Raw genomic sequence first — 26,695 nt, 5'->3', positions numbered from 1 at the left:
GTGTCCTATTCAGAGTTGGGAATGGCAAGACTGGCTCATGGGCCAGGGATGATGAAACCAGCATGCTGGTCAAAGCCTTTGCTAAATATCTCCCCATGGAGCCCAGGCTCAGAAATGGCTGTCCAGCCTTTTGCAGCCCTTCCTAGGCTGCCATAAAAATGTACCACCAGGCAGCTTCAAACAACAGAAATGTATACTCTCACAGTTCTGGAAGCTAGAAGTCCAAGACTAAGGGATTGGCGGGATTGGTTTTTTCTGAGGTCTCCAAAGGAGAATCTGTTTCATGCCTCTTTGCCAGCTTCTGATGGTGGCTGGCAATTGCTGGTATTCCTTGTCTTGTAGATGCATCACTCACATCTCTGTCTCCATCTTCACATGATGTTCTCACTATATTTCTGCATCTTCACATGGCCCTCTTCACGTGGACATTAGTCTTGTTGGATTAAGGGCCCACTCTACTTCTCTAGTATGACCTCATCTTAATTAGTTACATCTACAATGACACTATTTCCCCCAATAAGCTCACATTCTGACGTACTGAGGGCTAGGACTTCAACATATTTCACCGAGGGCACAAAATTCAGCCTGCAACAGGCCTGATGGCAGGGAAGAGAGCTGAGTGTTGTAGGGGGAGAAGGAGGGACTAAGGGCTGGTCAGAGTGGCAGGGAGTACAGGGTGGAATTCTCAACACTCAGGAATGGTGGAGGTGGCTTTGGTCTCAAATTGATCCAAGTTTAGGATAACTATATTGGTTCATGCAGATTTAATTGTGCCTCCAGTTTTAGAACTTTTTTTTTTTTTTTTTTTTTTTTTGAGATAGGGTCTCCCTTTGTTGTCCTGGCTAGAGTGCAGTGGCGTGATCATAGCTCACTGTAGTGCTAACATCCTGGGCTCAGTCTCCTGATTAGCTGGGACTACAGGCACACTGCACTATGCCCAGATTTTTTTTGATTTGTGTAGAGATAGGGTCTCACTAGGTTTTCCAGGCTGGTCTCAAACTCCTGGGTTCAAGCAATTCTCCAGCCTGGACCTCCCAAAGTGCTGGGATTATAGGTATGAGCCACTGCACTCAGCCTAGAACACCACTTTTTAACCATCAGGACTTTACTTGGATATGTGAGTTAAATGCTTTACTAAAGTCCCAGTGTAGATGGATTCAGTCCTCTCCAGAGGCTTGGGGTGCTAATCTGGTTGGAAGTGAGAAGCTTGGGGACTTGTCTTAAGCTGTGCTTTATGGCAAGCTCATCATGTTTACATGGTTTGTTATTACTTAGGGCAATCTGGGATTAGGGGAGCTAATGAAGATTAGGGAAGCCAGACCCCCAATCAACCCTTGGACTTGCGTTGGTCTCTAGCTTATCCTTTTATCTTGCTGACCTTTCAAGATCTGTTGTAACTATATTAACTCAAATCTGTTTGTTGGAAATTGAACCAAGACTATACGATCTCCATGTTCTCAGACTCACTTACTGGCTTATGCTCAACAACAGAGAGAGGGCAGTGTGCAGCGTATGAGTTAACTTTTGTAGTAGAATAGTTCAAGCATTTTAGAGCAGGCTATAGCCACAGACTTGCATAGTGTGGCAACACAGGTTGTACAACTTACGCAAACAAAAAGATGCACATTTAATTGAGTACGGTGAATGGTCACTTCTGGGGAGGGGGAGGAGAATAAGAGGAGAAACATAAAATGGATGGATGGATAGATAGGTATATAGGTAGATAGATAGATAGATAGATAATCAATAGATAGGGATAAATAGAACAAGAGAGAGGCCGCGAAGAGACTGATGAAGAGAGGGTACTATAGAATGAGGAGTATTATTAATTCAACCTCCTGCATCTTTAGTCTAAAAGAACAAGAATAGCCAGAATGTCTGGATTAAAAGTGCGAATCCTCTACCCACTAGGTTTTTGTAAGTTAGCTAATCTCTCTTTCCCTCAGCTCATTTAAAACAGAGGTAATATTAGTACCTACCTCATGGAATTGTTGTGAAAACGAAATGAGTCGGAATGTGTAAAGTGCTTAGAAGAGCACCTGACACTCAACCAGTAACTACCAGTAATAAACATTCAACCATATGGTCAGGAGAATTAAGTAAAATAATCCACATAAAATGCTTAGGCACTTAACAGTGCCTGGCTCATTGTGTTCAATAGACGTTAGTTAGGCAGCTGTTGTCATAGTCAACATCATTGTCATTATCATCATTTCTTTAAATGGCCAACTCCATTCCTTTAGTCACTTACAGAGAGGTAGCTGGACACAGTGTTGTACAGTGGAAAGAGAATGCTTTCTCCTATACTAATGCCACCTCCATCTTTTCCTTTTGTGTGATCTTAGGCAAGTCAATTCTTCCAGCATTGGTTTCTGCAAGTAAGCCTCCTACACCCATTGTTAGCATTAAATCTCACTCTGGGCACATCACTCATTTGGAGGCTCTAGTGTTGAAACCCCACACTTAACTCTGTATTAGCTATTATGCCAGGCAAGCAAAGACAAGGGCCTGACCCTCGGGGAAGTCATGTTGGCCCTAGTGAAATGGCCAGACCATTAGGCATACCATGCCCTGTACCTACGCAAGCCTCATCAGTGCAGCCTAAACGCATAGCCCCAGTGTGGAGTCATTTGGAACCATTAGTGTTACATGGAAGCAGGGACCCAAACCAAGATGGGTCAATCTGGGTCATTCCCCATTGTCTGAGGGATTCTACTTGTCTTGTTTTGACTTTTGATTTTCTGTTTTGTGTCAGAGTTACCCAGAAATTGCTTTGTGTCGGGTGTTATACTGTTTCACATGTATTCTCTCATTTAAACCTCATAATAACCCTGTGAGGAAACAGCTGCTATTCTCCCCCATTTTATGGATGAAGAAACTGAGGTACAGCATTTTAGAGTAATTTACCCCAGGTTACACAACTAGTAAGTGGCTAAGCCAGTAGCCAAACCACAGCAGTCTGGCAGCAGAACCCTTGCTATTATATAATACTACCTCTTGGAAATTTCCAGGGAGTTTGGCAGTTTGGGCCAAAATGAGAATTGGACATAATCTGTGATCCAACAGTTTCACTTTAATGAATTTATGTAACAAATCTGTTTGACTTGCTGTTTGAATTGCTTATAATGACAAAAGAAAAAAAGGTAAACATCCACCTATAGGAAACTAGTTAAATAGTTTATGCTATATTGTTGCAACAGGGTGATGCAGACTCAAGAAAAATAATAATGCAGGCTGGGCGCGGTGGCTCACACCTGTAATCCCAGCACTTTGAGAGGCTGAGGCGGGTGGATCACCTGAGGTCAGGAGTTCGAGACCAGCCTAGCCAACATGGCAAAACCCCGTCTCTACTAAAAATACAAAAAATTAGCCAGGCATGGTGGTGCGTGCCTGTAGTACCAGCTAGTTGGGAGGCTGAGGCAGGAGAATTGCTTGAACCAGGGAGGTGGAGGTTGCAGTGAGCCGAGATCATGCCACTGCACTCCAGCCTGGGTGACAGAGCAAGACGCTGTCTTGAAAAAAAAAAAGAAAGAAAGAAAGAAAGAAAAGAAAAAGAATAATGCAGATTTATATGCATTCATGTGAAACTATCCTCAAGATATATTCTGAAGTGAAAGGAACATTGCAAAACTGTGTATTTTTTATTTTTTATTTTTTAACCTGGCTCACTACTGACAGATGTATTTTTTAAAATATTGCAAAATAGCCAGGTGCAGTGGCTCGTGCCTGCAATCCCAGCACTTTGGGAGGCTGAGGTGGGTGGATCCTTTGAGGTCTGGAGTTTGAGACTAGCCTGGCCAACATAGTGAAACCACGTCTCTACTAAAAATACAAAAATTAGCTGGGTGTGCTGGCGTGCACCTGTAATCCCAGCTATTCAGGAGGCTGAGGCAGGAGAATCGCTTGAGCCTGGGTAATGGAGGTTGCAGTGAGCCGAGATTGTGCTACTGTACTCCAGCCTGGGTAACAGAGTGAGACTCTGTCTTAAAACAAAAAAAGAGAGAGAGGAGAGAGGAAGTAAGAAAACACTCATTGGTGGTATGGAGGTTTCAGACCCTCCTCAAAGGTTCCTGTTCACTTTGGGTTTCTAGGGAAACCTGATTCAGTCTGAGTTCCTGAAGTACGACGACGAAGACTCCTGCAGGTTAACATTGTGGCCACTTCCGTGCCTCATTTCACTTAACCCTCACAACTATGTATAAAGTAGTTTTATTATATCTACATTTTGCAGATTACTATCAAGTAGATCTGAGCCAAGAGTGCAACCAAAACAGATCCTCCAGTGGTAATCAAAGGCTGAAATAGGCCTCCCCTACTCTGTTCCATCCCCACTCCATTCAGTTTTTAAGGTAGCCAAGGGTCTCCTAGACCAGTGCTTCTCAAAATGTGGTGCCCAGGCCAGCAGCATCATTATCCGATAGGAAGTTGTTAGAAATGCAGATTCTCAGACCCTACTCCAGACCTGCTGAATCACAAACTCTGGGGATGGGACCAGCCATCCGTGTGGTTTTATGTTTGGTTTCAGTTTTGTTTTTTGAAGGAGGGCCTTGAACTCCTGGCCTCAAGAGATCCTACCACCCTGGCCTCCCAAGTAGTTGGGACTACAGGCATGTGCGACCACACTTGGCTGATTTTTTTTTATTTTTTGTAGAGACAGGGTCTTGCTATGTTGCCCAGGCTGATCTCCAACTCCTGTCCTCAAGAAATCCTCCTGCCTCAGCCTCCCAAAGTGCTGGGATTACCAATGTGAGCTACCATGCCTGGCCCATCTGTGTTTTAATGAGCCCTTCAAGTAATTCTGATACATGTTAAAGTTTGAGAACCATTGTCCTAGGCTAATGGCTTCACCTGCCAAACATTTAAAACACACTGATGCCTGAGTCTCACCCCAACCCAGGATTCTGATTTAATTGGTTTGGATGTAGCCTGGTCATGGGTTTTGTAAAGCTCCCCACATAAATGGAGACCACTGCAACCTGCACCTTCTGAAGCAGCCACTTTCATTGGGAATGGCTAATGTCACACTTACGGCATAAAGACAAGCTGCAGGGACTAGCCATCTATGTGAGGACATCACAACTTCCCAGTTTTAAGTCTTTTCCCCTTCCCCAAACCCTGCACCTAAACCGAGAGGTATGGGTGAAAAATCCTCCTTGGCTAAGCAGGTGTGAGCTCGTTAGTTTTGATAGCTTCATGTTTCTTACTTTAAGCCAATAAATTCAGTCTTTAGTGAGTATTGAGAAGATGCAGGAGAGAAAATATCAAGTTGCCTAGAGAATAATGTAATAGAGGAAATGAGATCTATAAATGGCATAGTAAAAGCTTAATATTATCAGCTCACTCCTTCCTGGGCTTATATATTTTGTACTGAAGGTCGTATCATATCGCATAGCACATCTCCAGTATAACAGAGTTTCAGTCAGCATTTGTCTAATAAATTAATCTGTTAATTAATCAATAAATGAATGGATATCACTGATGAAGAGGCTGATTCTGTCTTTGGCGTCCAGTGTCCAACTTACTACCAATGCTGCTCTTGGCGTGAAACTCTTGGCATGAAAGTCCATTGACAATAAATGTGCTAGGATCAGGTGCTAGAGCTGAATGTCACCAGAAAGAGACTATAAACCCAGATGGAGGCAAGGCACAGTGGCTCATGCCTGTAATCCCAGCACTTTGGGAGGCTGAGGTGGGCAGATCACTTGAGGTCAGGAGTTTGAGACCAGCCTGCTCAACATGGTGAAAACTTGTCTCTCCCAAAATATAAAAATTAGCTGGGCATGGTAGCGTCCCCCTGTAATCCCAGCTACTGGGGAGGCTGAGGCAGAAGAATCACTTGAACCTGGGAGGCATAGGTTTCAGTGAGCCGAGATCATGCCACTGCACTCCAGCCTGGGCAACAGAGCAAGACTCTGTTTCAAAACAAGCAAACAAACAAACAAACAAACAGATGGAGGCAGGAAAGGAAAAGTGGGTATAGTGGTCATTAAAGCTGGTGGCCAAATATTTCCAAGTCTCCTCCCTGGGACATAGAAGGGTCCCCCTGTGTTGCCCAGGCTGGTCTAGAACTCCTGGGCTCAAGCAGTCCTCCTACCTCAGCCTCCCAAAGTGTTGGAATTCTAGGCGTGAGTCACCTCACCAGTCCAGATCTCCCATTGTATTCATGACTCCTCATTTGCCCTGTATAATCAATGGCCAGAGTTTGCAAGCCCACTGGGCAGGATTCTCTGCCATGGATTGCAGCCAGCCACTGGTCCAAAGGAGGGTAGTCTTTGTTAAATTGAGGAACGAGGTACACAACCCTCCCTAGGGATCCTTCCTACTGGTTTAAAGGAATTAGAATAAAGCCTTATCCAGAGAGGGGTGGTGACAAAGCATGCAGCACAGGTAATTTGAAGCCCAAGAGCTCAAACATAACTAGACTGTTTTGCCAGCCTTGGACAAAGAGAGTGTAGTTTTTGAGGAAAACACCACTGTCCTGCTATCTGCACTTGGGCAGCCTCCAGGGCTGCACTGAGGTTTCAGTCTCTGAGTACGGTCAATGGCATCAACTGTTCTGATGGCTTTAGAAGAAATTAGGCAGAAAATGTGTGCATATTTGAACTGTTTAGGGAATAGACATAGGAATAATCAAATATGCAAAACCTACTGCTTTGAGATTTTTTTTTAACAGATGTGTTCCCTACAGAACAGGTTTCTCTTATTGCCTGGATCCAAGAGCATCTCCTGGGTTCTTCCTGTTAGAATACTGAATGTCCATGGAGAGTTTAACATAAGGAAGAAGAGGCCTGTCTCCCAGCTGAAACTGGTGCAGCAGATCATGCAAAGTAAAACCTCAGCAGCTGTGATGAAGTAGAGCAGAGGGCCTGGGTGTCTGTCAGCTCCAAGCGGAAGATTTCCCCAGCTTTCTAGGTAACTGTGCTTCCACTGAGCAAGCCAGACACAGACTTGAATGTCATCACAATCTGTGCCTGTGACATCTTTCCCCAAGAATAGCACAAATTGAACTTTTACATTCTTCATAATATGGAAGGAAAGGTATTGACTGAGCCACTTCTTTATGCCTCAAGACATCTCATATGTATTTATATGGATACATACATGAATGTATATATTCTGTCATAATAACATATTCTATTTTTCTTATTATAGCACAGTGTTAGGATAGGCTACATAGGCTGCATTAAACCCTCAAATAGAAGTTTATATTATGCATCAGAAGCCAGTGCAGGGACTCTCCTCAGCACAACATCTCTAAGTGGTGACTTGGAGGTTCAGGCTCCTTTCATCTTAAAATGCCATCATCTTCAGCATTTGGCCTCAACAGTTGCCAGAGAGGGAGAAGAGAGTATGTATAAGACCACACTGCAGGATCTGTGTTAGGTCTGCAAGCACTGCTGTCACCTCTGCCAAATCCCGTTAGCCAGAACCCAATCATATGGCCCCATCCTAACTGCAAGGGAAGCCTGGGAAAGGTCTTCTTGTATGCCAGGAAAAGAAAATGAAATCGACAAGTATCTAGCCAGTCTTTGCTACAAGTTTCTACATGTTGGAATTATTATCTATATTTTTCTTCTGATCATGCTTAGCATTTGATACTATGTAGACTGCCTTGTTGAGTCCTGCTGTATTTTGTGACATCCACATGCAGCATCCCATTCCTCACAACAGGACTAGGAGTGGTCAGAAGTTTTATCACCCACTTTATGGACGGAAACCCTGAGACCCAGAGCAGTTACATGGCTTGTCCAAAGTTACATAGTACTGTTAACTTAAAAACACAATTTATAAATTTAGACAAAGAAAGAGGAGACTTTATTTCTTATAAAGGGTTATAGCCTTCAAAGTGGCTATCTCACAGGCTGGGAAGCTCAGCCTTCAGCAGAAGCCCAGAGACAAGCATTTTGAAGGCAGAGGGGTTGGGATGGAGCTTTATGCTGAACAGGTTGACTAAATATACATATTCAACAGGTTACAGGAGGAGCTATGAATATTCATGAGGGTGGTCCTGACACATGCGTATTGAACAAACATACATGTAACACATGACCCATGTTCACTTTGGGATGGAGACTTAACATTTCAATGTATTACAGTTAGGCCCTACACATCAAAAGGTCATTTCAGGACACAAAAGCTCACAAGTACACAATCTCTGTAAACTAGTCAGAACCAGTCCATGGTTGGTGGTCTTATCAGGAAAAAGTTACTAAAATTAGTCTCTCATCCAATGAAAGCTGTAGTTATGGCTGGTGGAACAGGGGTTCAGTTGGGCAGAGTCTATGAGCAGGATGATTTGCAATTGTTTAAATATTGCTTATCTTGAGGCCAGTGCTTGTTTAGCTGCTGGAGAAAAAGAAAATCCTTGTGGCAGTTAGAGCATAGTTTCTTCCTTAGGTGTAGGAGTACATGACTTCCCCTCACCTGGCATGGCCTTAGGTCCTGTTTATAATTCGGTATCTTATTGCCACAAAGAATCTGTTCTGTGAGTCATGTGATCTCTATTGGAACATTAATGCTGCTCAGTTGTTGTGTCTAAACCATAAAAGAGAAGGAGAGTATAATTAGGCATGTCTGACCTCTCATCATAGCTGGGAACTAAGTCTTTAAATTTTTTTCTGGGGTCCTCTTGGCCACAAGGGGGTCCATTTAGTCAGTGGGGGCCTTGGGATTTATTTTTAGTTTACATTGCTAAGTGACAGAGCTTTGCTTCTTTCACTCTGAGGTTAGTGGTCTCTCTGCTGTGCCACATTGTCTTCCCCAGAAGCTCAAACTGGATGCCCAGCCCTCAGTGTACAAACTCAAGTATGCAAGAAATACATCTTTATTCTTTTATGAATATACCTAATTTATATGTTGGAAGGTGTCAGCAATGAATTTGATCACTTTGGTATTTCTCTACCTTTAAAGATATGTTTACATTTGGGGTGGGATGAAGGTTTGGTGGAGGGGAAGGTGGTCAGGTTGGGCCAAGGTATTGGGAAATCCATTTGTTCCTCATGTCAGCTGTTTGAGGAGGCACCAACCCAGATGTCCACAGTTCCTTCTGGCCTTCCTTTACCGATACTGATGCACCTGTGCCTCCTTCCTGTGTGCATGGCCCATTTGTGCCCAGCATCTCCCTGCTATTTTGGGGCCACTCCAGGGTCTGGGAAGTTCTGTAGGCTTATAACATACAGTCATTCTTCTCCCCAGCTTGCTGCCTCCCTGAGACACAGAGGTAGAGAAGTAGGAAAGGACCTACCGTACCCAGGCCTTTGCCCTCTCACTTTTCATCCATCCTTCTTCCCACCAGTGGAGGGATGTGTTTCTAGTCTTCCAGGGAAGCTCCTCTCTCCTCAAACCATTTTCTTCCAAATACTTTGGCTTTATTCCAAATCCTCTCTAGTCCTCTGAGATTTTTTTATAACACAAAACACAACTTACAGAAGTTGTGTTGTTGTTTTGCTGTTTATCTTGTCACATTATTTCTCTACCTTGAGGCAACAGGACAAGGGCCTGCTGTCCAGCGCACGGAGGCAGGGAGGAAGGGGTAGGGGAATACTAAGAAAAAAAAATTTCTCGATCACATGTGTACCACATTTAACTTTATCAGGTCCTTGTGAGGTGAGTATCTGTGTGTCATTGTTCTGAAACTAACAGTGAGGGGACAAAGCATTGATAGGAGTTCTTACAATATATTTGGGAACTCGCAGGTGAGGGCCTCTCCTGCCTGATTGGTCTTTCAATGTACCATCCCAACCCACCCACCTCAATCCCCATGGCTTGATCCTGCTGTCTCGGTGATCAAGCTTTCAGTTAAGAATTGGGTGATAATGAGCTAGTTAATCCAATTTAAAAAAAAAGAATTAGGATCTGGGCTCAGAAGCCCCACAGCTGTGAAAGCCTGGCCGTAGATTACTAGTCTTCTAGATGTAGAAAAGATTTTTCCTTTCTCTGGCTATTTAAGTCTTTATCAGTCACCCTGCCTCAGTTATCAACACACACCCTAGAGTAAATCTGTTCCCTGGGGGTGGAAATAGAAGGGGCATGTCATTGTACATCCACACTGATGAAAGGAAAGGAAACATTAAGATGGCTTAAGTGGAAAGGTCACATACGGCTTGTACTAGAGAGACACCATGCTAAAGCAAAACATCGTTTAAAAAAATTCTGACTTATCATGTGCTCAGAAATGCTCAAATGGGTACAACCATCACCAAGGGTGGGATGGGAGGGCAGGGGAAAAAAATATGAAGCATCAAAAAAAATTCTGATTTGTATTTGTGAAATTCAATAGTAACCCTATTCATTAACTGGATTTTAAAATCATTTCAAAGCACATTCGGCTTTCAAAAGATGTTTGTTTAAATAATACAGTTGGCTTTTGGTCAAAAAATGAAGTTTCGGTAATGCATAGTAACAACTGTAGTGTAATTACTGGCCACAAAATACCAGGTGCCAGACCAACCCTTTTCGAACCATTTAAGAGAACCAAGCCAAGCAAAAATGCCCAGCCTAGCCTTACCCAGAAGTTCAAAAGCTCAGCCTTTGTCACCAGGAAAAAATTAATTCAAAGAGCAAAGCCATTATTCGGCACAACCAGGTATTCTGTTGTAAACATCTTTTGTTAATACATGTTGAAAGCTGAACTTTCTCACGTTTGAGTGAAAGAGGGCTGCTTAAAGAGAGTTTAAACCAAGCCAGGTTCAAGGTTTTTTTCTTTTCTTTCTTTTTAGATTTCTGACTTCATATCTGTGGGATCCACACAATGGGGAGGTACTGGCCTTGGAATCCATGGTTCCCCAGCTATCATTTTACTTTAGAATTACAGTGTTCTCTGTTAGTGTCAAGGGAATGAACCTGACGAGAAAAGACCAAACATAGGACTGTTACAGGGAAGAAAAATATGAAAAGACCTAAAGATGCACGTCCTCATTATATGTAAGGAATCTATTTCCTAGAATCCTATAAAAAGCTCAAGTGAATTTGCTTCAGTTAATAAATGTGATTTAATTATAATGATAATGCCACAGCATATGTTTTGTTTCCTCTTTTTGAATTGCTCCCTGTTAATTATTGAGAGAAGAAATTCAGTGTAACTTTTTTGTAATCTGATAATGATGAGGCTGTCTCATGTGTTCCTTATGTGCTTCACAATGTATGCGTATGTGTGTGTATATAGTTAAGTTGAAGAAGACGGCCATGTGTGGGCGCTACAGACAGATGTAAGGCTAAAGAAAGGGCTCCATGGTGTTAGAGCAAAACCTCATGATAAAAAGCTCTTTTTTATACTTAGGACCTGATTGTATTGGGAGGAAAAACAAACATTCAGTCTTGGAATGACCTGAAAAACCTGTGGTATGAACCTACTCCCCTTTCCTCACCCTGGGATTAGAATGAAGTTCTACAGTTCAGCTAAGGTGACCAATTCACTTTGGTTCATCCATGTTCCATGTCTCAGGAAGACAGGAAGAGTCTGGGCTACCCTAGGTTCAGCTGATGGAGTCTAATGGCCCTGTATGCCTGCCTCTTCACCAGTAGGATGGTGGTGGCTGACATCACTGACATGGACTGTGGGGCTAGGACTGTTCTGACCACCTTATGTGTCCCTCTCATTTGGTCCTCACAGTGTCCTGAAAAGTTTGGTGGCTATCTGCGTTTCACACATGAGGAAACCAAGGAAAAAGAGAGTAAGCTATTAGGCTAAACCACGTGGAATTCCTGTGTGTGTAGATCAAAAAGGTTAAATATCAGCAAATGCATATTATTCAGTCTACAACTTGCCCAATATCACAGAGTTGGTAGGTGGTGATCCCAGAGTCTGAACTCTCAACTACCCAGGATCATAGCTACATATCTGTATTATAGATGACAGACCCAGGCTCAAAGCAAATGCATTATATACATATATATTGCTATCAGCAGACTACATCCTTTCTTCTCCAGTCTGTGGCTTCAACTGCTGATTTTATTCAGGTCATAGTGTGAAAGTTGGCTCAAGTCAGACAAGACTGCCCTGCCTGTGGCCTGTTCCTGCTGTGCAGCTAAAAGCAGCCCATCAAACCAGCTCTCTCAGGCTGGCTGCCTCAAAACCTGCCTGCCTAAAAATATCTTTCTCTCAGATGGCACAGAGCCATACACTCCATCTCCCCAGCTGAACTTCCCACCATTAGAACGACTCAGCTACCCACATGCCTTCCACCCGAGCCATTGTTAAAATTCAACTGTGAACCCTATAATCCTCTCCTGTTAACACACTAATGATTAGCTTATCAGGTTACATGAACTCGATCTTGGATCAAGTGAAGTTTGTTTGGGAGTTGGGCTGCAGATGGGTAAGGTCAGGAGCATGAGAGTGAATCATGGACTATTAGATGTGGCAGTAACATCAGAAGCTGTACTGGCCAGTCCCAGCATTTTACAGATGAGGAAACTGATGTTTAGGTGCCAAAGCCTAGGTGTCTTGACTTCAGGGTGACCAACCATCCCAGTTTGCCTGGGACTGAGGGATTTCCTGGCTGTAGAACTTTCAGTGTTCAAACCTGGAAAGTCCCAGACAAACTGGAACAGACTGACCACCGTGCTCGATTGGGAGCCCAAAACTCTTCTGCTTGTCTGGACAAGTCAGGTTTGAGCGTGCCCTTGCAGTAAGAACCCCTAGGCTGCTTGGTACAGCTCAAAAATGCCAGGTGGGGAAATGACCACAGACCTGGTTTACCAAGGCTGGCTCCCCTTCAGTCTCTAAGCATGGACTTGGATGCCATGTGGGAGCAGCCATATTGCCCCATGACTGACCAAAGTGTTAGCCTCTTGGGCCACAGCATTTAGGGAAGCTGGTTACATAGAGATGGTCTCAGAAAATAAGGCTGTGGTATGGTTTGTGTACTTCACAGAGATAGGACCACTGTGTCAGCCACAGCTCTGCGGTTCTCAAAGCTTGGGGGTGGAGTGCTGCTGCTGTTTGTCTCTGCTGCACATGGCTGCACAGATGTTGGGAATGGAGAAGTATTTGGGCAGGGAGATGGATCAGCAGGGTTCCCCGTGCTATCATCATTTCCTTTTTTAGAAGTTTTGTCATTTAGAGGTTTTGAATCTTGCAATAAGCGGTCATCCTTGATTAACTTTGGACTTTTTCCCTTAAATGTCAGGCACCTAATTTTAAACTTTTTCCTGGTTTTACTTCTCCTCCCAGGCTATTTTGTCCCCAGTCCTTGGTTGCTTGGCAGTTGTTTCCAATATAGCGCCTCCTGCTTTCCATTCAGCTGGGATCCAGCTCTAGCTCATGCCCTGTACCTGGGGCCTATGTGTGTAAACTAAAGAAGGGAAGGATGCCGGGCATGGTGGCTCACGCCTGTAATCCCAGCACTTTGGGAGGCTGAGGCGGGCAGATCATGAGGTCAGGAGATCAAGACCATCCTGGCCAACATGGTGAAACCCTGTCTCTACTAAAAATACAAAAATTAGCTGGGCGTGGTGGCACATGCCTGTAATCCCAGCTACTCGGGAGGCTGAGGCAGGAGAATAGCTTGAACCAGGGAGTCGGAGGTTGCAGTGAGCTGAGATCATGCCACCACACCCCAGCCTGGGTGACACAGTGAGAGACTCCATCTCAAAAAAAAAAAAAAAAAAAAAAAAAAGGAAGGAAATCAGGAGGCAAGGAAGGAATAACACAAGAATCCCAGCCAGGCAAAATTGTCAGTGTAAGTTCTCTTTAATATTCTCTTTCCTGCATACATTGCTTTAACATACCCCCAAACCCACCTCCACTTCCAGCCCTACCTCTACACACATCTACGAGAATCTAAACTTTTCATGGTCCACCCTTGCTCTCAACCATCACTAAAATGTCCTTAGTGCCCAAATAACAAGTTTACTGATCTGGTAAATGAATCCCTGATGATGCGGGTTAAAGTTAGAGGTGCAGCCCTCAGAAGTGAATCTTAACTTTGACCTTTATAGTTAATATCCTGCCGAGGCTATCTTAACACTTTAATAAATGTAGTTCTTATGGAGGAACTGTGGAGCTGGGAGGGCAGGTAGTGGCAGGAAGCATAGTGGAGGATTATTTTGGGAAGAGCTCTGTGATAAGCTCTTTTTTCTTTTTAACAAAGAAAAATACAGGATGCCCAGTTGGATTTGAATTTCACATAAACAACAAATAATTTTTTGGTATAAATATGTTCCATGCAACATTTGGGATATACATATACCCAAAATTATTTCTTATCTGAAATTCAAATTTAACGGGGCGTCCTGTATTTTACCTGGCAGTTCTATCTGTGACCTGTGATGCCTCCTAAATATGCAGCCTGTGCAGTAGACGGGCAGGATTGCTGTGGAGTTCAGAAGTTTCCAAATTCTGGCAGAAGGCAACCAGCCCTTCAGGGAGGGCATCGCACAATATAGTCAGGTGAAACTGCTGCCCCCAAAGCCAGCCCTGCTGATGTCTGGGGGCATCCAAGGCAGGCCTGAATGGAACATGCCCAGAGACTGGCCAAGGTGCCAGTAAAGTGGGTGTGTTCTGCTAGATCCTTCCAAGAACATAAAGTGTCTAGTTCTGGTGCTGACAATTGACCTAATATCTACCACACTAGCACACTATTTTTAGGCCTAAGGAAGGAGTGCAAGATTTTAAAAATAAGGTAGTAGATGTAGGGGAAATTACATTCAAAAAGCTCAATCCTGAATGTGAGTTTAAGACCAGGAAATGCAATATATTAGATCTAGAAAAGGTTAGTACAACTAGCTTTCCATATATAAATACCTAACACTGGCTGTGCATGGTGGCTCACGCCTGTAATCCCAGCACTTTGGGAGGCCGAGGTGGGCAGAATCACTCAAGGCCAGGAGTTCGAGACCAGCCTGGCCAAGATGGTGAAACACTATCTCTACCAAAAAATAAAAAAAGTAGCCGGACGTGGTGGTGCTCATCTGTATGTAGTCCTAGCTACTTGGGAGGCTGAGGCATGAAAATTGACTGAATCCGGGAGGTAGAGGTTGCAGTGAGCCAAGATTGCACCACTGTACTCTAGCCTGGGAGACAGAGTGAGACTCTGTCTCAAAAATAAATAAATAATAAATATATAAATAAATAAATAAAAATAAAATAAAATACCTAAGACTAAGACCCCACACTTTTCTTTCACTTTTTTTTAATGAACAAAGATAATGCTACCAGCTTCAGGAAAATTGCTTTTGCCACCCATAATGTTTTGTTTTCAACTAATAAAGACAGAGGCTGTTTTGTTGTCTGCTATTGGCTTCCATATATAGCCGACAGCTATACCCTGTCTATACTTCCAGATCTACTCTCTACCCTTCTCTGTCCTGCTCTATGCTCTGGGAAGCTGACCCCTTATGGACTCCCTTCCTTTCTGGATTCTGATTAGGGCCAGCCAGTGGGAAACAACAATAAGAGATCAGATGGTGGGAAGACAGAAAGATCAGAAGAGTAGCTTTATTCTTGTTGGTGTTTATTAAAATGCTCATGATTTCAACAACTTGGTAAAAAGCACTCAATAAAATAGAAACAGATGCATACTTCTTTAACATGATACAACACATCTAGCCAGCATTATGCTTGATGGGGAAAGTCTAGAGGTAGCCCCAATAAAGTTAGGAATAGACGGGGTGCTCACTATCATAATTACTATGTAAAATTTTACTGAAGGTACTAGCAATCATGACTTGGCATTATAAAACTTCAAGTATAAAAATAGGAAAGTAAGAAAAATATTTTCATTATTTGTAGATGATGTGACTCCGATTTTAAACCCAAGAGACTCAACTGAAAAATTATTATGAACAATAAGACAATTCAGTAAAGTATAAAGGTGGAAAATTAATATACAGAAACCAATCAATCTTATATGTGCAAATAATAACCTACTGGAGGATATAAGGATGAAGGACCTTATTTAAAGTAGCAATAGAAAAAATAAAATACTTGGGAACAAATTTAACAAGAAATGTGTATGCCCTATATGCAGAGAACTTTAAAATAAAACCAAGGAACCCAAACAAGCTTTGGATAAATAGAAAGAACATACCTGGGTAGGAAAAATAAAAATTGTTAAAATGTCATATCTCCCTAAGTTAATTTAACATTTTAACACAATTCCAGTAAAAAATACCATTTTTTTCCCTTTCAAATTTGGCAAGAGATTTCTCAAATGTATATGTGTGAGGGAGAATGTGGAATGGTTAGCCCTATCAAGTATTAAAACACATTATAAAGCCTCAGTAGTTAAAACAATGTGAGACTGATCCATAAATGGACATACAGATCAATAGAACAGATGAAAATGTTCTGATATAAACCCAGATACACGCAGGAATTTGTATACAATAAAGGTGACATTGCAAATCACTAGGGAAAAGAGAGACTGACTATTCAATATATTGTATTGAACTAGTTGTAACAAGTTAGCCTAGTTCTAGGCAGGCTGTAACTAGGCAGCCATCTGGAATAAAACTGGATCTATACACTATACACGAAATTACAAAGACATCATATATTTAAATGTGAAAAACCAAATTAAAATTACTAGAGGAAAACTATGAGAAAATGTCTTTATAACCTTGGAAGGTCCTTGTAAATGTGACTTAAAATATATAAGCCATTAAAAAAAATGATAAATTCAATTATGTTAAAATAAAAAATGTCTGTGTGGCAAAGAAACAAAATCACCATAATCAAAGTTAAAAGACAAATGACAAACTGGGAAAAGTATTTTCAACTCATGTCACAAAGTACTAATATCCCTTATATACAAAGCACCACTAGAAATAAATAAGATTTTAAAAATCAACAACCCAATAGAAACATGGGCAGTAATATGAATATGTTTGTCACATTTTCAAAAATCTAAAAGTTTTGACAATCTAACTTATGGTATTATACATTGGTAAGACTCTATGAAAGGTAATTTGGCAAGATCTGTCAGTCTTATAAGTGCTTATCCTTGACCCAAGAGGCACTTTTCAATGACTCTATCCTGTGAATATACTTAACACATAAAATGACCTATTATTAATAGTTAGATTTATTTAATCATCTCGTGTGTGCATGTATATATCTCATAACATCACATTGTACCCCATAAATATATACAATTATCATTTGTCAATTAAAATAAAAATTTAAAAATCATTTAAAAAATGGCCAGGCACGGTGTCTCACACCTGTAATCCCAGCATTTTGGGAGGCCGATGCGGGCGGATGACCTGAGATCAGGAGTTTGGGACCAGCCCGGCCAACATGGGAAAACCCCATTTCTACTAATAATACAAAAATTAGCCAGGTGTGGTGGCACATGCCTGTAGTCCCAGCTACTCAGACGGCTGAGGCACGAGAATCGCTTGACCTGGGAGGTGGAGGTTGTGGTGAGTCGAGATCGCACCACTGCACTCCAGCCTGGGTGACAGAGTGAAACTGTGTCTCCAAAAAAAAAAAAAAAAATTCATTAAAAAATGACCCAGGTCAAGGTCAAGGTAACTTATTGCAGCATGACTTGTAATAGCAAGATTAGAAACAATCCAGTATTCATCAATATGAAACTAGTTAAATAAATCATGATGCATCCATGTAATTGAATATTATGCAGCTTTAGAAAGAAACACATAGAGGGGGCCGGGCGAGGTGGCTCATACCTGTAATCCCAGCACTTTGGGAGGCCGAGGTGGGTGAATCACGAGGTCAGAAGATGGAGACCAGCCTGGCCAACATGATGAAATCCCGTCTCTACTAAAAGTACAAAAAATTAGCTGGGCGTGGTGGTGGTCACCGTAATCCCAGCTACTCAGGAGGCTGAGGCAGGAGAATCGCTTGAACCCAGGAGGCGGAGGTTGCAGTGAGCAGAGATCGCAGCACTGCACTCCAGCCGGGGCGACAGAGTGAGACTCTGTCTCAAAAAAAAAAAAAAAAAAAAAAAAGGAAGAAAGAAATACATAGAGAGTGAAGATGTACCACATAGTATATTGATAAACAGTACAAACCTCCAAGACATTTTTAATGAAAGACACAAGATGGAGAACCATATGCACTGTTTGCTACCTTTTGTGTGAAAAATGAGAAAAATAGAGTATATATTTGCTTATATATATATACACATATGAGTATATTTATACAGAATATATATTATAGTATATATAATATGATAGTATTTAGGATGTATATATTTGCTTATATATACAAATGAGTATATATAGATAGTATATATTATAGTATATGTAATACAATAGTATTTGTATATAGAGAGTATATATTTGCTTATACATATGTTTCTGGGGAAAAGTGAGGAGATTTAGTGAATGGAAGATAGAGTGGGGAGGTTAACTTTTTACTTTTTATATTTTTTAAATATTCAAATCATGAGGATTAAATATGAAATACATAAAAAGTGCTTATTAAAAAATCAAACAATACAGAAATATGTAAGGTAAGAAGTAATGTTCCTCTACCCTTAAAACTGCCACTCAGAGAAAACCAATATGAGTAGTCTGTTATATACCTTACAGGATTTAGTCATTGAGAAACAGATAGGAGACTTCAAAAAAATTACTTATTAGGCAAGGAAAGCATTAGTTTCTGGGTCCTGGCAGTCACATTGTTCTGGCACTACCAAATCCACTTAGACCACATATAAGCAGCTGAGATAAATGTTGATCTCTTGCCGCACGCCCACAGTGAGCTGCTCTCAAGAGACTTCACCCAATCCTACGGGAGTTCAGTTATATGTAAAATAAGAAGTTAGAAAATAATTCTGAATTAGGTGGCATTTTAAAAGTGAACGGTAGAGGCCATTAACGCCACTAAATTAAGTATGATGGTAGATTTTAAATTAAGACATTAACATTTCAGTAAATGAAAATGCTTGTGCAGTCTGCAAAATTCTTGGCAGTAGTACCACAGAATTCAGCCAGTAAGGGCTCCTAAGTTACAAACATAAAGAGTCCCAAAGAACACAAAGAATCATTCTTTATTTTCCACTGCTATTATTAAAAATTTTAAAAATATATTCTAGATGGAGCCTGCTAGTTCACTAGTGCAATAAAGCGAGCCTCACATTACTGAGACCTCCTCGCAATCCTGTTCCTTTGCCTCAGAAAATTCCTTGATGAGTAGAATATGAATGTTATAAATATTTATTAACAAAAATATATACAAAATGAAATATGCAGCCTTCCTATTTCAACATAAATACCAAGGTCTCTTGCTAAACCAGCAGTTGATATTTTAATACATGTGCCCTAACACAACAAAACAGTGTTTATGCAACACACTCTTTCCCGTCATCTTATAAAAGCAGTCTGTTGATGTTGGAACAAACCTTAGAAAGTTTAGTCATGCAATTGTTCATTCAATTAAGGAACATTTACCAAGTATCTCCACATAGCAGGTAAAGTAAAAAGTAACGGAGATAAGAAGATGAATAGCACCATCTCTGGCTCTTGAATTTAAGTCTAAGCCAATTCTTTTATTTTTATATCAAATAATCTCTAGGTTTCTCAAGTTCAGACCATAACTTTTTATTATGTCAAGTATCATGCATTTATAAAAAGAACTAAATATTTTATATTTGTGGGTTGGCAGTGGTCTATTCTTCCATCAATGTTGTTCACATAGTCATTTTTTGTTTTCAGATGATTATTTCAGAGGATCTGACTGCTCTTCATCTTCATGAATAACTTTAAATACATTAATCCAGTTAGCCTCACAACAACCCTCATTTTACAGACTAGGAAACTTTTGTCAGTCATGCTGAATTACTTTCTCAGGCTCTCACAGCTAGTATCTAAACTCAGGTGTGCCTGTCTCACACTTATATTCTCTACACAATAGTAAACAGCAGGATTTGTAGAAATGTAGGCTAGAGAAATTGTAATTTGTATTAATTACATGATTGTCATTTGTTAAAACCTCAGCTGCTTCACAGATGATTTCTTAGAGAAAAGTATACTATGACAGTAAACACAATGTGTTTCCGAGGTTCATAAGACTGTGAAATGATACCAGGTGACTGTTGGTTTCCGTCATTACAATATTGTACATTAAAATGAAAACATATAAGTGAAGTTACTGCTATTTCAATTGTATTTCTTTACATTTTATCATCAAACCTTCCTATAGCCTTATCTTTTGTTCATTTGAACTGCTTTGCTATACATCTTTTTACTATCCATATCATCTATTATATCTTTAAAGATACCATAATATTTTTATATTATATTATTATGTTTTTAAAAGATACTTAATCTTTCTTCTTTTAGCCACATTGGTGTGACTCTCCTCCTAACACACTCTTTCCACATAAGCCTTCTGAAAAACAAGACATTCACTCATAGTGAATGATCAATGCATAGCTTGCTCAGAGCAGGGTACACATTTTTGAAATTATGAAGGTGAGTTGTAGTAAAAGAGATAATTTAAGTTGAATATGATAATTTGATAGAATCTGGTACTGATTGTCAGCTTTGAAGACCTTGTACCACAGAATCAGACTGCAAAATCTTAGAGTGATATTCTTCCAATGAGCCACTAGCAATCAGAGAGAGGTTTCTGGGGGCCCTCGTACTTTCTGTTTTATGTATTTGCAGATTTGGATCAAGAGCAGAGGGTTAGTAAGCCTTAATCAAGAAAGAAAAAAAACAAATACATGGAAATCTTAAATTGAATTCCAACATGAAAATTATGGCACAGTTTATACAACTTTATGATATCTCAGTTGCATAAAATTATACTTCACCCTTCAAATAATGACATACAATTAAATGAGGTCTATGGCAAGTACTATCATATAGAACGTGATCCCTACAATGTTTAATCATTCACAAAGCATTGGGAGGTGTCTTGGGGCCTAGCCCAGTGAAAAGAGCAAAGGTTTTGAAACAGCCAAATCTAGAATTTCACATGAGCTCTTCCATGGAATCTTGGCCAAGTTACTGAATCAGATTGAACTCGGCTTTATCACCCGTAAAATGGCTATTGCTAGTATTAGTAATGACACATACAAAGTGTTTGGAAGGAGAGCTTTGTACATAATGCTCAATAAACTCAAGTTTTACCTGAGGCACTTCACACAGTACACAACAGTGTTCTTAAATTAAATTGAATTGATTATAAGGAGATCAAGTGTTCATATTATCTAATCTTCCAACCAGAGCGGACAATTGAAAAGATGTATTTCCTGCTAATACAGTACTTACTTTCCCAGGAGGCTAGACTGGGCAAACTTTAGCAAGAAATGTCTCCATATATAGTGTACAAAAAAATCTCCCTCTAGTTTATGAATCCGTGTTGTCACAAAACATTTATTTATTCAGTGTTTAGAGCTTTTTTAAAAATAAAAAATAAAAAAACTACAGTGACCTTATTAGGTTAGGTAATAGATATTTTAACCAATTTGATTTAAATTGTTAATGGTGTCGTCTAGGAATTTAGGGGAGAACAGTCAAGAAAAAGAAAGAAACAGGTAATAGTTGTTGCATCTCAATGCAGTTCAGAAAACATGAGTAGGTCCACCAGCGTGTGGTAGCAGAGGAAATTCTCAGGCACCAGTTGAAAGTAAAAGCTTGGTATTTTATAGTTTCCTTTTGTAAGAACTCAAGTTTTTGTTGAGTTGCATATTTTATATTTTCTGGAATTTTGGTGTCATTTTATCCATAGTTAATAATATTGTTTCACCATAACTCCTCTTTGATTATGTAACCAGCAAAGTTTCTAACAATAAAGCATATTTTAGGGGTACATACCTTCCTCTCAGTCAATGTATAGAAAGTATTACATTATGTATTAAAACCTCAGTGCCATGACAAGATAGTCAACATCTTTAGTCATCAGAAAAATACAAATCATAACTACAATTGTGTGTGTGTACTTATCAAATTGTGTACTTTATATATATGTAATTTATTTTATATCAATTAGACCTCATTAAAGCTATTTTTAAAATATTATGTGAATTTTGCAGAAAATGAAAAGAGAAACCCCTGACCTCAGCTATCAGGTTGGCTACATTAACTGCCTGCCTCTTTTGCATCATCAGCTACTTCCTGGCTATGGGCAAGTGTGATGTTTTTTTACTGGACTGTAAGGACCTTCAGAGTAGAATCCATGTTTAACTCAACTGAGTCTTCCTTCAAACTCTCTCACTAAGTATTCAACTGTTGTTTTTTAAATGAAACATAAATTGCTTGGATAGTTTTTGGTGAAACATTTCAGAAAACATTTCTACCTAAATTCCCTAATGAACCTTTACGATTTTTTGAACTATGCATGGGAGGCAGCATATCTTCATGCTTAAGAACTTTAAAGTCAGTGATTTGTTCAGCTACTTACTAACCACCTGACCATAGATAAAATTATCTCACCTCTCCAGGCCTCAGTTTGCTCATTTCTAAAATGGGACTGTAAAGGACCTGTCTTGGATTTTCTGAGAGGATTAAATGATATAACCCATATAAAGTACATGGGCCATATTTAGCACTCAATAAATACTTGTTGTTTTTGTTGTGTTGTTATTGCTTTCCATATCCCTAATATATTGTAGAGAAATAAAGAATCTAAAAATTCGGGTTATTATGCATAGTAAGCATACAAGAACTGTTAGCAGGGAAAAAGACAAGTGAATTAATACACTGACCGTTACAAATTTTTGAAAGTTTACGAACTCCAAAGACTGAAATATTCCATCTTTCATCAGGAGAAAGAAAACGTGATGAACAAGTTACCTGAATCTTACAGGAGGGATAGCTCTAAACTGACATTAAAGTTACCTGCATATTAGGCTTTTTAGAATCACACAATTAGAGAAATTTAATTTATTGGAAGAAGCAAAAGGGTTTTAACACCTTATAGTCTTCTCAGTACATTTTGATTCTTGCTCTTAGACCTTTTCATTAAATAAGAAAAATTAAAAACCTGCTGGTACGTAGAGAGGCTAAAGTTGCAAACAGCTCATTTACTTTCTCCCTACCCTTCACACTGAAGTTCTTAAATGCAGAAATCCTGTTCTCCTATTTGTTTGCAAGTTTTCTCTCTAGTGAAAAATACTTCATCATTTTGTCCTTGGGGAATTCATTAAACAGAATGTGGAAAAATGTAATCTTTAGGGAGTTTTGCTGTGAGTACTCTCAGTAAATACAGCACAAGCCAAGAGACTCTACAGAGACCTGACCTAGAGTAGACGAAGCCTGGGCCATTGTCAGATAATCATTTCCTTGAGCTTTGAGGCAGTCACTTAATTGTTTTGTCACCTCTGATTTTTGTAATATTGGGCCTAATTGCATCTCCCTGATTTGTGGGGAGTGTTTATAAAATATGTACAATAATTATTATCATTAATAAACTGGATTATTAATCCCCTCCAAAAATAATGTGCCAACATGTCAATAAAATTTACACCTTATCCTTTAAGTCTGGCCCAGTACTAGATTTGCCTTTAAAAGTCCAAGTCAGCCGGGCGCCATGGCTCACGACTGTAATCCCAACACTTTGGGAGGCTGAGGCAGGTGGATCACCTGAGGTCAGGAGTTCGAGACCAGCCTGGCCAACATGGTGAAACCCCGTCTCTACTAAAAAATACAAAAATTAACTGGCATGGTGGTTCATGCCTGTAATCCCAGCTACTGGGGGGCTGAGGCACGAGTGTCGCTTGAACCTGGGAGGTGGAGGTTGCAGTGAACCGAGATCATGCCACTGCACTCCAGCCTGGGCAACAGAGTGAGACTCTGTATCAAAAAAAAAAATTCCAAATCAATTTGTTGTATGCGAAGAACATAATACCATGAGTCAGGAAATGTTATTCTATTTCTGGTTCTGCCAGTAGTTACCTCTGTGGTCATTAGTAACCACTTCACTCTTCAGTTTCCTCAAATGTAAAAGTAGGAATTTGGACTATATCAAGGAAGAAACATACCTGATATGTGCCACCACTCATAATTCTGTGCCCATGGCAGACATTGTTAATCAATCATTGAACTTTTTCTACCAAATTGGGAAGCTGTTTTTGAATACTTTTCAGCAAAGCACTGTAGGCAGCCACTACCAATGTATCAGAATTGGCAATCAAAGTGAAATTTGCTTCCCATCTCCGGGCCAGAAGACGTCTAAGGTTTTTTTTTAATTCTAATATTACTCAAAGGGCAAAATGAGAGTCCATGGAATAGAAAGTGTCAGGAGACAATTATGTTGGCAAATCTCATTTCCCTTTTTTATTTTCCAGCCTCCAAGAATGTTATAGATTATCTGTAAGGTCTGTTTATGAGGATGCTCTGCTCTTCCATTCGTTGTAGTCTGCTTTTTGTTTGTTCAAAGTGGAAATAGTTTAATTGTTTTTATCCCTTAATTCTAAAAATGCTTTCTGTAAGGATTTGAATAATACAGAAAAATACAAAGATGGAAATGAAAATTATCTGATATTCTACTCCCATTATTAATATTTGAGAACTGTCCTTGAAGACATAGCTCTAGGCATAATGTTTTTCTGTATTTTATTTTCCCCACAAAGCGATGTTACGTTTGGGCTACTTTGCCTGTTACTGAGAGGCTGCAGTTCTTAATCTCTATTCATAAAATTTTGTCTTTGGTAATTCCTGTTCTGCTGAGTTAAACGTTGCAAATATAGCAGTAAATTGGAAGAGAAAGGATCTTTAGAACCTTACAACAACTACACTTAAAGATGTGGTAAAATTCTCCAGGCTCCACTCAAATAAATACAAAATGGAAAGATTTACAAAGCTTGTGGTTATAATTCAATTTGAAAATAAAACAGATCCAGTGGCATGGGAGAAAAGCAACGTTCTTTCCTTACTCCCACACCCTACTCCCACCTTTTTTCTTCTTCTTATAAAAGTAATGTATGCTGGCCAGTCACAATGGCTCATGCCTGTAATCCCAGCACTTGGGGAGGCTGAGGCAGGAGGACTGCTTGAGGCCAGGAGTTTGAGACCAGCCTGGGCAACATAGTGAGACTACCCCCTCTACAAAAAATTTTAAAATTAGCAGGGCATGGTGGTGCATGCTTGTCATCCCAGCTACTCAGGAGGCTGAAGTGGGAAGATTACTTGATCCCAGGAGGTCTAGGCTGCAATAAGCCATGATAGCACCACTGCATTCCAGCCTGGGTAACAGAGCGAGACCCTGTCTCAAAAAAAAAAAAGTATGTTTATTTATTTAGAACAATGTAAACATGGAAAAATGAGAAAAAAAAGTCATCAGTCTCCATCTAGTCAAAATAATTACGGTTAACATTTTGGAGTATATGCATTCTGTCTTTTTTTTCTGTGCATATATATTTATATAGGTATCAACACATAAAATTCAAAGGACTCTTTTAAACATTTTTCTCTTTACTCACTGCATTGCTGTTGCTGCAGGATACTTTTTCTTTATGAGCAGGAAACTACACAAGTTAAAACTGGCTTTGGAGATGTACAGCTCATTGTACCAGTAGTTTGCACAGTGAGGTGTACACCCCAGGGAACCAAGGATGCGGGTGTGTTTTGAAATTAATACACCAAATATTTTGAACACTGCTTTACTGGAGTTTGTTATTTTATTTACTTATTTATTTTTCGAGATGGAGTTTCGCTCTTGTTGCCCAGGCTGGAGTACAATGGCGCGATCTCGGCTCACTGCAACCTCCGCCTCCCGGATTCAAGCAATTCTCCTGCCTCAGCCTCCTGAGTAGCTAGCATTACAGGCATGCACCACCATGCCAAGCTAATTTTGTATTTTTAGTAGAGACAGGGTTTCTCCATGTTGGTCAGGCTGATCTCAAACTCCCGACCTCAGGTGATCCGCCCACCTTGGCCTCCCTGGGATTATAGGTGTGAGCCACCGCGCCTGGCCTATACTGGAGTTTAGTTTATCCACTGGGCAGGTTGCTCAAGTTCAAACTCCCTAAGCAGATATTCAGCGAGTATCTTACATAACTGGCACAAATGAGGTCATATCACGGTCAGAACCTCTGTATGCATTTATCCCTCCATCTACTTCATTGATAAAATGTCTGTGTTCGTGAAGTGTATTTTGATAAGGAGACTATCTCTCCATCGTCTAATAAAATGAAACTTATGCATGGTGTGATGAGGTTTTTTACTTTGTATGTAGCAACAAAGATATGTTATGGGAAAGACAGCTTCCTCATTCCCAGGGAAGTCATTTTCTTCTGAGAGTCTGAGTTTTATTAAATCACCAAGTATCATCTCCCTGTTTGTGCTCCCAATGTTGGTTAACAAACAAAGAGCAGCCAGGGGAAACCCTGCCTTTGATAGTCACCATACATACAGTATGCTGTTTTGGTTATCAATTGCTATGAAACAAACCACCCCCAAATTTAATAGCTGAAAGTGATTTATTATAATTTCTCACAGTTCTTGGTGTTGACTTAGCTTAGCCAGGGAGTCTTCTGCCGGTCTTGCTTACAGTCTCTTGTATGTGACTGCAGTCATATAGCAGCTGGAGCTGGAGTTCTTTGGGGGCTTGAATAGGTGGGCTCGAAGGTCCAAGATGGTTTCTTCATTCACATGTCTGGTGTGTTGGTTCACATAGTCTCTCTCTCTCCATTTAGAGTTTCATCTTCCATGACTTTTCCCATGGCCTCTCTTTCCATCAAGGTAGTCAGACCTCTTAGGATGATGGCTGACTTCCAAGAGTATAAAATTAAAAGCTGTCAGGGCTTTTTCAAGCTTAGGTTAAAACCTGGCATAA

General features: G+C 40.3%; 1 long non-coding RNA gene across 1 annotated transcript in view, besides 1 other annotated feature; it reads left to right on the top strand.

Moving 5' to 3' along the window:
- LOC100130691 (Putative uncharacterized protein FLJ44553) overlaps positions 1 to 11,015 on the top strand; it is a 109,184-nt gene extending 98,169 nt beyond the window's left edge. Inside the window, exon 9 of the long non-coding RNA NR_026966.1 lies at positions 6,689 to 11,015. This is a non-coding gene — a long non-coding RNA (Putative uncharacterized protein FLJ44553). The remainder of the gene's footprint in view (positions 1 to 6,688) is intronic.
- Positions 12,628 to 13,047: an enhancer, noted in NCBI's record as "active region_16796". NCBI's record gives its function as "activates an Ori minimal core promoter by ATAC-STARR-seq in GM12878 lymphoblastoid cells {active_cell/tissue: GM12878}" and the evidence as "EXISTENCE:reporter gene assay evidence [ECO:0000049][PMID:35858748]".

Source organism: Homo sapiens, chromosome 2 (assembly GCF_000001405.40).
Source record: "Homo sapiens chromosome 2, GRCh38.p14 Primary Assembly".
Classification (NCBI taxonomy): Eukaryota; Metazoa; Chordata; class Mammalia; order Primates; family Hominidae; genus Homo; species Homo sapiens.
This window is presented reverse-complemented; position numbering and strand designations above follow the sequence as displayed.